General features: G+C 38.2%; 1 protein-coding gene across 4 annotated transcripts in view, besides 1 other annotated feature; it reads left to right on the top strand.

Moving 5' to 3' along the window:
- Positions 1–13763, top strand: part of LTN1 (listerin E3 ubiquitin protein ligase 1) — a 64734-nt gene that overhangs the window by 12769 nt on the left and 38202 nt on the right. For 3 of the 4 annotated variants that reach the window (NM_001320766.2, NM_015565.3, XM_047440741.1), the window contains 4 exons: positions 8665–8838; positions 9367–9557; positions 10508–10643; positions 12930–13739. In NM_001320766.2, coding sequence (NP_001307695.2) covers positions 8665–8838; positions 9367–9557; positions 10508–10643; positions 12930–13739 — 1311 coding nt within the window. Of the gene's footprint in view, positions 1–3345; positions 8488–8664; positions 8839–9366; positions 9558–10507; positions 10644–12929; positions 13740–13763 lie in introns of those variants that run through there. The other variant, XM_047440740.1, reaches the window with a different exon arrangement.
- Positions 11143–11325: a silencer, noted in NCBI's record as "fragment chr21:30341106-30341288 (GRCh37/hg19 assembly coordinates)". NCBI's record gives its function as "represses an EF-1alpha promoter that drives an FKBP-Casp9 reporter gene in an ReSE screen in HepG2 liver carcinoma cells {active_cell/tissue: HepG2}" and the evidence as "EXISTENCE:reporter gene assay evidence [ECO:0000049][PMID:32094911]".

The following is a 13763-nucleotide window of genomic DNA, read 5'->3' as shown; positions in this document are numbered from 1 at the left end:
ATGAGAGCTGAAATAAGGGAACGTCGCCTTGTTCAACCTCAGCTGGGAATGTGCACGTGGGTGACTCAGATTTTTTGCCATTCTATGCATGTCCACAAATGACTGCAAGACACTGCAAGTTTTTTGTTTATTTTTCCAGATGGAGTTTCGCTCTTGTCACCCAGGTTGGAGTGCAATGGCGTGATCTAGACTCACTGCAACCTCTGCCTCCTGGGTTTGAGTGATTCTCCTGCCTCAGCCTCCCAAGTAGCTGGGATTACAGGTGCCCACCAGCACGCCCGGCTGATTTTTAAATATTTTTAGTAGAGACAGGGTTTCACCACGTTGGCCAGGCTGGTCTCAAACTCCTAACCTCAGATGATCCACCCACCTCGGCCTCCCAAAGTGCTGGGATTACAGGTGTGAGCCACCGTGCCCGGCCTAAGACACCGCAAGTTTTGTTTTTGGGGTTACAAATTAATTTTAGCAAGTAGGTGAATTGGCAAACATGGGATTTGTGAGGATTGACTGTATTTTTGAAAAACGTGCTTTTGTGTGTGCTTGAGTTTTTAATTCACATAAATGATACTGTTATATTTTATTCCATTTATTACTTTTTCAAAAGAGATCCATCATGTTCCTGTATGTACATCTGATTCATGACTTCTAACTGCCTTGTAGTATTCAGAAGTTTGCATTACCTATTCATTTAACCTGCCCATTCCTCCAGTGATAGATCCTGATTGCCTCCAACTCCTTGCCTTCACAAGTAATGCAGCAATGAACATCTTCATTCATGTGTCCTTGGATCTTAAGAAATTATCTGAATTGCTGAGTCAGTGAAGTGTGTGCATACCTAATTTCCTAAAATAGTGCCAGATTGCTCTCCTGAAGGGCTGCATTACTCTAGACTCAACCATCAATACGTGATGACTCTTATACTGCATAACCTTATATTCTAGCCATCACTAGGCAGCATTCAGCTGCTACTACATAACCTTATATTCTAGCCATCACTAGGCAGCATTCAGCTGCTACTACATAACCTTATATTCTAGCCTTCAGTAGGCAGCATTTAGCTGCTACTACATAACCTTATATTCTAGCCTTCAGTAGGCAACATTCAGCTGCTACTACATAACCTTGTATTCTAGCCTTCAGTAGGCAACATTCAGCTGCTTAATTTTTCATCAGCCTAATAGGAATTCAGGTGATATCTCTCTTTAACTGGAATTACTTTCCTTATTGGTGATTTTGCATCTCTTCAAGAATTTTTAGCGTTTTTGTTTTTGTGTTTCTTGTTCATTTTTCCTTCTTTGGAGTTCTCTTTTTCTTTTTATGCAGGAGTCCCTTTTATAATTAAATATTAGTCTTTTTGTCTTTTTTAAAAATTCTAATCTCATGACAGATTATCTTTTGTCATTTTTAGGCAATGCAAAAAAGCTCCCATTCTGTCATCTCTCCCATGTGTCTTATGTCAGAAAGAAAATTTTGATGTGATCAAAGTCACTGATTTTTGCCTTATGAAGGCTATTCCCACCTTTAAGTCATAAAGATATTCTTATATTTTGAATTTTTTAGCTTTATAGTTGTAGGCTTTATATGCAGTTTTACCTTTCATATAAAATCTTCACTTCATCAATAATCTACCTTTTCATTTGGTGTTAAGTATAGATCTAGTTACATTTTTCTTCATATATGGTGAGTCAGTTTTCCTAACATTACCTAGTAAACTGTTTATTTTTTTTCCCTGTTGATCTGTGGTCATGCCGTTACAAGACATTAAGTTCTTATATATTGCTGGGCACAGTGGCTTATGCCAGTAATCCCAGAACTTCGGGAGGCCAAGGCAGGTGGGTCACTTGAGCCCATGAGTTCCAAACCAGCCTGGACAACATGGCAAGACCCTGTCTCTACAAAAAAATAATTAAAAAATTAGTTGGGTGTGGTGGCACACCCCTATTGTCCCAGCTGCTTGGAGACTGAGGCAGGAGGATCGCTTGATCCCAGGAAGTCAAGGCTGCAGCGAGCCATGATTGTGCCACTGCACTCCAGCCTAGGGGAAGAGCAGGAACCTATTAAAAAAAAAAATCATACATTCAGAAATTTGCCCTAAATTATGTTCTGATGCATTGGTCTCTGTTTCTTGTTATACCAGTGCCACTGTCAGTATGACATTATGATATGTCTTTTTTTTTTTTTGAGACAGAGTCTTACTCTGTCACCTAGGCTGAAGTGCAGTGGCACGATCTCAGCTCACTGCAACCTCTACCTCCCAGGTTCAAGCAATTCTCCTCCCTTAGCCTCCCGAGTAGCTTGGCACTCAGGTGCCCACCACCACGCCTGGCTAATTTTTGTATTTTTTAGTAGAGACGGGGTTTTGTCATGTTGGCCAGGCTGTTTTCTTGAGACAGAGTTTCACTCGGTCACTTGGACTGGAGTATAGTGGCGCAATCTCAACTCACTGCAACCTCCACCTCCCAGGTTCAAGCTGTTCTCCTGCCTCAGCCTCCCGAGTAGCTGGGATTAGAGGCGCCTGCCACCATGCCCAGATAATTTACGTATTTTTACTAGAAATGGAGTTTCACCATGTTGGGCAGGCTGGTCTCAAACTCCTGACCTCAGGTGATCTGCCCGCCTCAGCCTCCCATTTGGGATTACAGGCATGAGCCACTGTGCCTGGCCTTATGATATGTCCTAATACCTGCTCAGGTTAGTCACATATTTTGGGTTGTATTCTTTTTTTTTTTTTTTTTGAGATGGAGTCTCACTCTGTTGCCCAGGCTGGAATGCAGCGTCATGATCTCAGCTCACTGCAACCTCCACCTCCTGGGTTCAAGCGATTCTCCTGCCTCAGCCTCTCGAGTAGCTGGGATTACAGGTGCCTGCCACCACGCCCAGCTAATTTTTGTATTTTTAGTAGAGACAGGGTTTTGCCGTGTTGGCCAGACTGGTCTCGAACTCCTGACCTCAGGTGATCCACCTGCCTCGGCCTCCCAGAGTGCTGGGATTACATGCATGAACCACTGCACCTGGCCAGAACTTTATTCTTTCATAAAAATTTCAGTAAATTTGGGCTGAGCGTGGTGGCTCATGCCTGTAACTCCAGACCTTTGGGAGGCCAAGGTGGGAGGATGACTTGAGGCCAGGAGTTTGAGACCAGCCTGCATGACATAGTTAGACCCCATCTAAAAAATGTAAAAAAATTAGCTAGACACAGTGGGGAGTGCTAGTAGTCCTAAGTACTTGGGAAGTTGTGGTGGGAGGATCACTTGGGCCTGGGAGATTGAGGCTGCAGTGAGCTTTGATTGCACTGCCACTGCACTCCAGCCTAGGCAATAGAGTGAGATCCTGTCTCAACAAAACAAATTCCAGTACATTTGTTGAATTTCTCAAAAACGTCTAACTAGAATTTTAATTGTGGTTGTACTCAATTTATAGACCAATATGGAGAAACTTGCTTTCTTTATGTTGTTGAGTCTTCCTATCCATGAACTTCTCATCTCTTTCAATTTTTTTTTTTTTTTTTTGAGACAGAATCTCACTTTGTTGCCCACACTGGAGTGCCGTGGTGTCATCTTGGCTCACTGCAACCTCTGCCTCTTGGGTTCAAGTGATTCTCCTGCCTCAGCCTCCCAAGTAGCTGGAATTACAAGCACGTGCCACCATGCCCAGCTAATTTTTGTACTTTTAGTAGAGACAGGGTCTCACTGTGTTGGCCAAGCTGGTCTCGAACTCCTGACCTCAAATGATCCACCAGGCTTGGCCTCCCAAAGTGCTGGGAATACAGGTGTGAGCCACCATGCCTGGCCTCTCTCAAGTTATTTGGGTACTTTAAAATATCCTATGATAATTCTTAAAAAATCAACTTTTTTGAAGTATAATTTGCACACAGTCCTGTAAAATGCAGCCATTTTTATAGTTTAAGTTTTGACAGATGTGTACACCTGTCTACATGTATATATACTTATATAACCACTACAATAAAGAAATAGAACTTTTTTTTTTTTTACCCAAAATGCATTCCTTTTGTCCTTCCAAGTCATCCTCTGCCTTTATCCCAGGCAGTCATTGATTTGCCTCCCATCACTACAGATTAGATTTGTCTTTTCTATGCTGTCATATAAATGGAGCTAGGCATTACTCTCTATCTAGCTTCTTTTGCTTAGTGTAATGTTTTAAGATTCATTCATGTTGTTGCATATATCAGCAGTCCATTTTATTGTTTAGTTTTGTACAGTTTTCGTGTGAACATATGTTTTTATCTTTCTTGAGTAAGGAGAGGAATTGATATGTCATATGGTAAGTATATGTTTATAGGAAGCTACCAAGATGTTTTCTAAAGTTGTAGTACTCCTACCAGCAATGTGTGAGATTTTTAGTTGCTCCATATCCTCATGTTTCATATTGTCAGCCGTTTTAATTTAGGTCATTCTCCTGGGTATGAGATCAGGCATTGCAATAGCTCGTGTGTCAAATCTGGCACATCTGTTTTTGTTTTTTTCATCCCCATGGACACGAGGGAAACATCTATTTTTGTAAATAGTTTTATGTATTATCTATGGCTACTTTACTTCTACAAAGCAGAGCTAAGTAGTTGCAACAGAGATGACATGGCCTGCAAACCCTAATATATTTACTCTGTATCTCCCTATGGAAAATGTTTACTGACCTCTGGAATAGAGGTTTCTCATTGTGGTTTTAATTTGCATTTCCCTGATGACTAATGATGTTGAATATCTTTTAATATGTTTATGGGCCATTTGTATATCTTCTTTTTGGAGGTGTCTGTTGTAATCTTTTGCTTATTTTTTATTTCATATATTTTTTATTCCTAGAACTTCCACTTGGTTTTTTATATTTTCTGTTTCTTAGATGAAATTGTCTATTTTTTCCCCATTCATCCTCATCGTATTTTCCTTTACCTTATTGAGTATAGTTTTAATAGCTTTTTAAAATCCATGTCTGATAACGTCTGGGTCATCTTGGGGTTGACATCAGTTAACTGTCTTATCCTTTGTGATGAGACCACATTTTTGTGGCTCTTGGTATGTTGACTAATTTAAGATTGTATACTGGACATTGTGAATGTTATGTTTTGGAGACTGGTTTATTTTATATTTATCCAAAGGGTATTTTTTTTTTGTTAGGAGGCAGTTAACTTGATTAGACCCATACCAAACCATTATGCCTGTGGTGGGAAATGGCTTAGCTCTCAGTTCATTTCTTGTTTTAGCTTTAAGCTGCTTCTAGTTTACTTGAGGCCAGGAATTCAAGACCAGCCTGCACAACATAGTTAGACTCATATCTCTAAAAAAATTTTAAAAATTAGCTGGGCATAGTGGAGTGCACATGCATGGTTCAGAGATAAGCTATAGATTTAGGCTGTTAAAATACAGAATATAGGGGTTCCTTTCTGTGGCCCTCTCCTTTCTAGAGTCCCCCATCACTCTCCTGCGTCATCCCGCATTATCCTGGCCTTCTTTCCTGGTTCTTCTAGTTCCTCTGGCCAGAAAGATGTCAGTCTTTCTACTGAAGTTGTAGCTGGTCCTGTGCCTTTGTGATGGCGACCACAGCCACGTTTGGGCAAAGCTGCAAAAGTTGGGATCTCAATCTACATGGATCACTTACTCCCAGTTTGATTCTCTTCTAAAATGCATCTGTATTTCAGTCTCCAGAGTCCTCAGGTAGTTGTTTTTTGTGTGTGTTTTATCCACAGAGCTTCCTTTTTAGGAGGACTGATATATTGGGCTCTCACTCATCCATATTTTTTGGTCCATTTTAAAATTGCAGTTTGGTTATTTTTGAGTTGCAAGTGTGCTGTATTTATCCTGAGTAGAAGTATGTGTCAGATAAAAGTATGATGAATGATTTCTTCCAGTATATGGCTTGCCTTTTAATTTCATTAGTGTTTTTGAAGAGTAGATGTTTTAATTTTGATGAAGCTTAATTGATCATTTTTCTTTTATGGTTGTGCTTTTTGATGTCTTATTTTTTATTTTTATTATTTGAATGGCCAGTTAATAGATTGATGTCTTATCTAAGAAATCTTTGCCCAAGTTTGCAAAGATTTTCTATATTTTATTTTAGAAGTTTTATAGGTTAGCTCCATGTAGTGGATTTAGAGGTTTTTTTTGCATATAAACTGAAGGTGAGAGTCAAAATTAATTTTTTGGTTATGGAGTATTCAGTTGCTGAAAGACTATCCCATCCTTATTCTGACATCTTTGTCAGAATTCACTTGACCGTATATGTACAACTTTAATTTTAGACTCTGTTCTGTCCACTGATCTGTATGTCTATCCTTACACCCAATACCATGCACTTGATTATGAATGTTTTATATTGTGTTGAAAACTTCCAACTTTGTTCTTTTCAAAATTCTTTTGGTTATCTTAGGTCTTTTGCATTCTAGAATAATGTTTTACAATCTGCTCAGTCCTTATGGTTTTTGTTTCTTTCATGAATGAATGCTTGATTTCTAAGCAAAGCAAAATTTTCTTGATTTTTCTGATGTTTTATGATCAAAGTTTCTTGGCATAGCTAGAAGTTTGCTGTCTTTATAAATGTCATGTCTTTTAAAATACTTTGCTAACTTTGATTTGGTAATATTTTATATAAAATATACATAAAATATTTTGTGGGGTTAGATATGTATGTATTTTTAAATCTCACAAAATATTATACTCTCAATCTTTGTTTACATTTGCCTATATATTTGTTGCTTTGTGTCAGAAGGTGTTTTTATTTTGCCCTCATTCTTTTTTTTTTTTTTTTTTTTTTGGGACGGATTCTTGCTTTGTCACCCAGGCTGGAGTGCAGTGGTGCAATCTGGGCTCATTGCAACCTCCGCCTTCCGGATTCAAGTGATTTTTGTGCCTCAGCCTCCCAAATCCTGGGATTACAAGCATGTGCCACCATGCCTGGCTAATTTTTGTATTTTTAGTAAAGATGGGGTTTTGCTATGTTGGCCACCCCAGTCTTGAACTCCTGGCTTTAAGTGATCTGCCCGCCTCAGCCTCCCAAAGTTCTGGGATTACAGATGTGAGCCACCATGCCCGGCCTTCATCCTCATTCTTGAAAGACATATTTGCTGAGTACAGGATTGTATGTTGGTAGTTATTTTTGTGTTGAAGATACTATTCCATGTCTTCTGATTAAATTATTGATGTCAAAATTAACTATCAGTCTTATTGTCCTTCTTTTGAAGGTAGTTTATCTTTCTCCTTGGGCTACTTTTCTCCTTGTGTTTTCCCAGTTGCATAATGTGTCTTTGTGTGGATTTCCTTTATGTATCCTGCTTGGGATTTGTTGGACTTTTTGAATCTTTGACTTGGTGTATTTCATTGGCTCTGTAAAATTCTCAGCTATTATCTCTAGGTATTTCCTTCCTCATTCTTCTCTTGTTTTGGGATTCTGATTAAATAGATATTAAGCCTCACTTTATCCCCTATGTCTGTTACGTTTTCTTTGTTGTTTTTCATCTTTTTGTCTCTCCATGATGCTTTGCGGATAATTTCTTTTGCTCGGTCTTCTAGTTCACTGATTCTCTCTTATTTGTATCTAACCTCCAGCTGTCTTAGTCCATTCAGGCTACTTTAACAAAATACAGTCAGCCTTCCATATCTGCAGGTTCTGCATGTGTGGATTCAATCAACTGTAGATGAGGAACCCGTGGATATGGAGGGCCGACTATATTACGCCATTTTATGTCAGGGACATTTTATGTAATTCCTGAGAATTTGGTATATGTGTGGGGGTGGGAGGGTGGGATATCCTTGATCCAATCCCCTGCAGGTACCAAGGGATAAACTGTACCTTAGATGGAGTAATTTGTAAATAATAAAAATTTATTTCTCACGGTTCTGTAGGCTGGAAATTTCAAGATCAAGGTGCCAGCAGATTCAGTGTCTGGTGAGGGTTGCTTTCTCTGTTTCAAAGATGGCTACTTTTTGCTGTGTCCTCACATGGCAGAAGGAGTAAACATGGTCTCTCATACCCTTTTGTAAGGGCCCTCTGATCCTATTCATGAGGGTAGTGCTCTCAAGACCTAATCATCTCCTAGAGTCCTCGCTTCTTAATACTATCACACTGGTGATTAAGTTTCAACATACTAATTTTGGAGGGAGACATTCAGACCATTGCATTGTTCTTAAACTACGAGTTGAGCTTTAAGTTTTAATTATTTTTAGTTGAGTAATTGTGCTTGATCTTTTTCCGATCTGCTCTGCTTTTTCCAGGATCCTTTTTCTTACAAGTTTTTTAAAACTTTTGTTCCTTTAAATATAATAAGCATTGTATTATAGAATTTGTGACTGATCATTCTAAGATTTAAAGTCTCAGATCTTTTATTTCTCCTGATTGTTGCTCATGGTGTCTTATTTTCTGTTTGTTTGGCTATAATGGAGGCCCCAAATGAAGGCTTCTGCTACTAAAGAGGATTTGTGTTTGCTTCAGTCAAAGAAAGAGAAAGTTGAATTAATTCTTTCAGCCTTCACTTTTGCCTTGGTAATTCCTTATGCCTTTTCAGCCATTTCATACTCTAAGATTTTAAAAAGTATTTTTTCTAGCTATTTTAGTTTTCTTAGTGGGAGGGTTAGTGTGAATAATCTACTATTACCATAAATTAAAAATCTTATCAAGTTTTACTAGGTTTTAATTTAATTCAGCTTTGCATTCTTTTAGATTCGCTCAGCTTATTTTGAGTTAGTCTCTGCATTGTGCCAGCGCATTCCACAGTTGATGAAAGAGGAAGCATCCAAAGTGAGCCCATCAGTTCTACTTAGCATTGATGACAGTGACCCAATTGTCTGCCCAGCTCTCTGGGAAGCTGTACTCTATACACTTACAACTATTGAGGTATGTAAGAGAGGCACATTTAGTACACTGAGGAATGAACCTATGAGATAAGAATATCCAAAACTTACTGGGAAAATGCTTTCTTGGAAATAAAATAATCTAAACTTGGCATAAATCTTAAAGTGACTAAAATGGCATAGAGTTTTTATTTTATTTTGTTTTGCCAGTATTAATTATTCTTTAAACCTTATGTGTCCTAGTGCAGTCACCATAACTGAATTTTATATTTAAGATGAAATATAATTAAGATTGAAATATAATTGTCCCTTTTAGAAAGCAGCTTTTATAGAAATAGAAGTTAAATAATTATTTCTAATCAATACTTTATTGTAAGCATGTCGAATATATGATCATTATATGTAATACATTTATAATTTCAGTTTTAGTTTTTAATGGTGGTGAAAGATTTTAGCTTTTTTTAGGTAAAATACTTGGTTTTTCTTTTTGAGAGCCTATATGTTTTCTCTTTTAATTGAGAAAAGTATGTTTATGATCTCTAATTACTACTATAATCTTTTGTTTGGTTAGGACTGTTGGCTTCATGTAAATGCAAAAAAGAGTGTGTTTCCCAAGCTATCAACTGTGATTCGTGAAGGTGGTCGGGGTCTAGCTACTGTCATATATCCTTACCTTCTGCCATTCATCAGCAAGCTCCCTCAGTCCATCACAAATCCAAAGTTGGATTTCTTCAAAAATTTCCTCACGTCTCTAGTTGCTGGGTAAGTAATTTAAATTTTTGATTTTTAAAACAAAACAGATTTTCTTGTTTTTATACTCATTTTCTTTCTTACTTAAATTTCTCCAAGTTGTTTTACTATTCATTAAATACTTTTAAAGTTTTCAGAGAATTACAATTGATATTTTTTTCTTGAGTACGTTCAAGACTTCAGTGGTAGCACACAGCAGGAAGTTAGATAAATAAGGTAAAGCTCCTTGTTGGAAATAGGTCAACTAGGCTATTTTTCAAATTAGCCATTTTTTTAACAGCAGAATGTGCTAACCAATTGCACCACAGACACATGTAGCCATTTTTTATTTTTTATGTTGATAAATACAAATGCCTAAATGCAGAAAATTAGCCAGTGAAATTTTTAAAACATCAACAACTTTAACTACTATAGATGTTTAAATTCACACTTAAAAAAACTGTTTCAGTACATTTGTTGAACTTAGAAGATACATCATTTTATTAATGATTACAGATTTTTTTTACTACACCATTATCTTTATTTGGTTAATAAGTTATCTCGAATTTGCAGGTGGATTGGTCCATGAATAGAAAATTAATATCTCGGCTAGGCGTGGTGCCTCACAGCTGTAATCCTAGCACAGGCCAAAGTGGGAGGATTGCTTGAGGCCAGGAGTTCAAGACCAGCCTGGTCAAGATAGTAAGACCCTATTTCTAAAAAAAAAGAAGAAAAAGAAAAAGGAAATATTCTCTTATTTTTATTTTTTACTGATACATTTTTTGAAAAACTTTTTCAAAGTTTTTAAGTTCATATTCTCATTGGGCTATATGTATTTTCATTGGTATTTAATTTGTAGTTTAAGAAACTGCTTTAAAAATGTTTCTTCTGTCATGATGCCTTTTTGAGGTCTTTATTTTGATAATTCTGAGTTCTTGTTTCTTCTTCATGAAAGAGTAATCCAGTTATTAATTATTTCTTAGGCTGTCAACAGAGAGAACTAAAACCAGCTCTTTAGAGTCCTCGGCAGTAATATCTGCTTTTTTTGAATGCTTACGTTTTATAATGCAGCAAAACTTAGGTGAGGAAGAGATTGAACAGATGCTCGTCAATGATCAGGTATCTATAATGTAAAAGTCGTCAGTCTCTTTGCATACTGATTATGTAGGATCAAGCTCATTGTGTCTTGTTGCCATTTACAGTAATAAGCCTTCCTTGTAAAAATTTTATTTTTATAATTTACCAATTGAGTGATGTGTATTTCTGACCAGATAAGTAAAAATTCCATACTCTCAGTTGCTAGCATGGTATGATACCTAAGAAACTAATCAGTGTCTGGATGCAAAAATCCCTTTTTTTTTTGAGACAAAGTTTCGCTCTTTGTTGCCCAGGCTGGAGTACAATGACGCAATCTCAGCTCACTGCAACCTCTGCCTCCCGGGTTCAAGCTATTCTCCTGCCTCAGCCTCCCAAGTAGCTGGGATTACAGGCACCCGCCACCACACCCAGCTAATTTTTGTATTTTTAGTAGAGACGGCGTTTCACCATGTTGGCCAGGCTGGTCGAGAACTGCTGACCTCAGGTGATCTACCCGCCTCGGCTTCACAAAGTGCTGGGATTACAGGTGTGAGCCACCGCGCCCGGCCTGTAAAACCCTGTTTTAGAAAGATGTAGTGCAGGCTGGGCGTCGTGGCTCACGCCTGTAATCCCAGCACTTTGGAAGGCCGAGGTGGGTGGATCACCTGAGGTTGGGGGTTCAAGACCAGCCTGACCAACATGGAGAAACCCCATCTCTACTAAAAATACAAAATTAGCCAGGTGTGGTGGTGCATGCCTGTAATCCCAGCTACTCAGGAGGCTGGAGAATTGCTTGAACCTGGGAGGCAGAGGTTGCAGTGAGCCGAAATTGTGCCATTGCACTCCAGCCTGGTCAACAAGAGTGAAACTCCATCTCAGAAAAAAAAAAAGAAAGATGTAATGCAAAGCAGAATTTTGAAGTTGCTATTTATGATCTTTTGTAGTAAGTTTAAATAAATCATGAAGCAATCATCTTGTTAATTCTAAAATACTCAAATTATGCTTTGTGAAAGTTTGGCTTGGCTTTTAGAACCAGAGATGAGAGAAGGTTATGGAATATGGTTCTTTACAGTAGGAAATTAGTGAGATTATAGAAGCCCAGGTCTTAGGATGTCTCTACCCTTATTTTTGTAATTTAGGAAATAGGATTCCGCACTCTGTGGGTCCTAGGTATCTTTCATGTTGACTTATAGTCTCATATCTTAGATTTGCCTATAGTTAAGGCAGAAAAGCAAAACACTTAAATCCAGAAGATGCAAAGAAAACTAGATTGTTAATGACCAAGAATCCCAGTCAATTTTATCATGAAAAAGGAATAATTGAGGTGAAATCATTAAGCTCTTGTATGATATGAAAGGGATCTTTAGGTTAACTTTTTCAGAGTTCTAGGGGAAAATTTATGTTTTTCAGTTATTAAATATGAAATAGTGTTTTACAAATACTTTGTTTAAATTTTCTCTTGAAAATTGAACTTTTCAATTTTTTACCTTCTGTGAGTGGAAAAAACAATTTTTCCTCTATTCTCACATCATAGTAATCAACACAGAAGACTTCTGTGACCAAATATGTGGAGATTTCTCCCACCCAGCAAGCAGTCAGTTCTGCAGCAGATACCAGCTATGTGTCCTCCAATTCAATTCTGACTATCTACCTGGAGATAGTGTCAGATCTCACTGGCTTAGGACTCAGTCCCACAAGACCGCTCCCCACTTCTGATGCCAATCGCAAGCCCCAGGCTGTTTTACCTGGGCTTCTGACCAACCAGCTGTACATCTAAATCAGGGATCCCATGACCCCCTCCTGGGGTTTGCTTAATTTGCTAGACTGTCTCACAGAACTCAGAGAAACAATTTACCAGTTTATTATAAATGATATTACAAAGGATACAAATGAAGACATGCACACGGTGAGATACGGGAAGGGGTGAAGAACTTCCACTCCCTCCCTGGGTGCGCTACTCTCCAGGAACCTCCACATGTTCAGCTATCTGAAAGCTCCCTGAATGCTGTCTTTCTTGCGTTTTTATGGAGGCTTCATTACTAGGCATGAATGATTAAGTAATTGCCACTGGTGATCAGCTTAACCTTTAGCTACCTTTCTATCCCTGGAGGTTGGGGAGGTATTGAAAGTTCTAGCCCTTTAATCCTGCCTTGGTCTTTCTGGTGATCAGCCCCCATCCTGCTATACAGGTGCTGCCAGCCATCAATCAACCCATTAGCTTATGAAATGATATCACTTTGGAGATTCCAAGGATTTTAGAGTTGTGTGCCAGGAGATGGGGGTTGAAGACCAAATATATATTTTATGATATTCTACCTTTTCTTTCAGTTGATCCCTTTTATTGATGCAGTTCTCAAAGACCCAGGATTGCAACATGGGCAGCTATTTAACCATTTAGCAGAAACTCTAAGTTCCTGGGAAGCCAAAGCAGACACGGAAAAAGATGAAAAAACAGCTCACAACTTGGAGAACGTACTGATACATTTCTGGGAAAGACTGTCAGAGATCTGTGTTGCGAAAATCAGTGAGCCAGAAGCTGATGTTGAGTCCGTTTTGGGTGTATCTAACCTATTACAGGTGCTTCAGAAGCCGAAGAGCTCATTGAAGTCAAGTAAAAAAAAAAATGGTAAGGTTAGATTTGCTGATGAGATACTTGAAAGCAATAAAGAGAATGAAAAATGTGTATCTTCAGAAGGAGAGAAGATTGAAGGCTGGGAATTAACAACTGAACCTTCTCTCACTCATAATTCTTCAGGCCTTTTGTCTCCTCTAAGGAAAAAACCTTTGGAAGACTTAGTCTGTAAACTCGCAGATATAAGTATTAATTATGTCAATGAACGAAAGTCAGAGCAACATCTAAGGTTTCTTTCTACTCTGCTTGACTCCTTTTCTTCAAGCCGAGTATTTAAAATGCTACTTGGTGATGAAAAACAGAGTATTGTCCAAGCCAAACCTCTTGAAATAGCCAAGCTTGTACAAAAAAATCCTGCGGTGCAGTTTTTATACCAGAAACTGATAGGTTGGCTAAATGAAGATCAAAGGAAGGATTTTGGTTTCCTGGTGGACATTTTGTACAGTGCTCTCCGGTGCTGTGACAATGATATGGAAAGAAAAAAAGTCTTGGATGATCTAACCAAGGTATTCCTGTTGTATATCTTTTCA

Source organism: Homo sapiens, chromosome 21, assembly GCF_000001405.40.
Source record: "Homo sapiens chromosome 21, GRCh38.p14 Primary Assembly".
NCBI classification, from domain to species: domain Eukaryota; kingdom Metazoa; phylum Chordata; class Mammalia; order Primates; family Hominidae; genus Homo; species Homo sapiens.
Note: the sequence above shows the minus strand (reverse complement) of the source record. Positions and strands in the feature narration are given on the sequence as shown.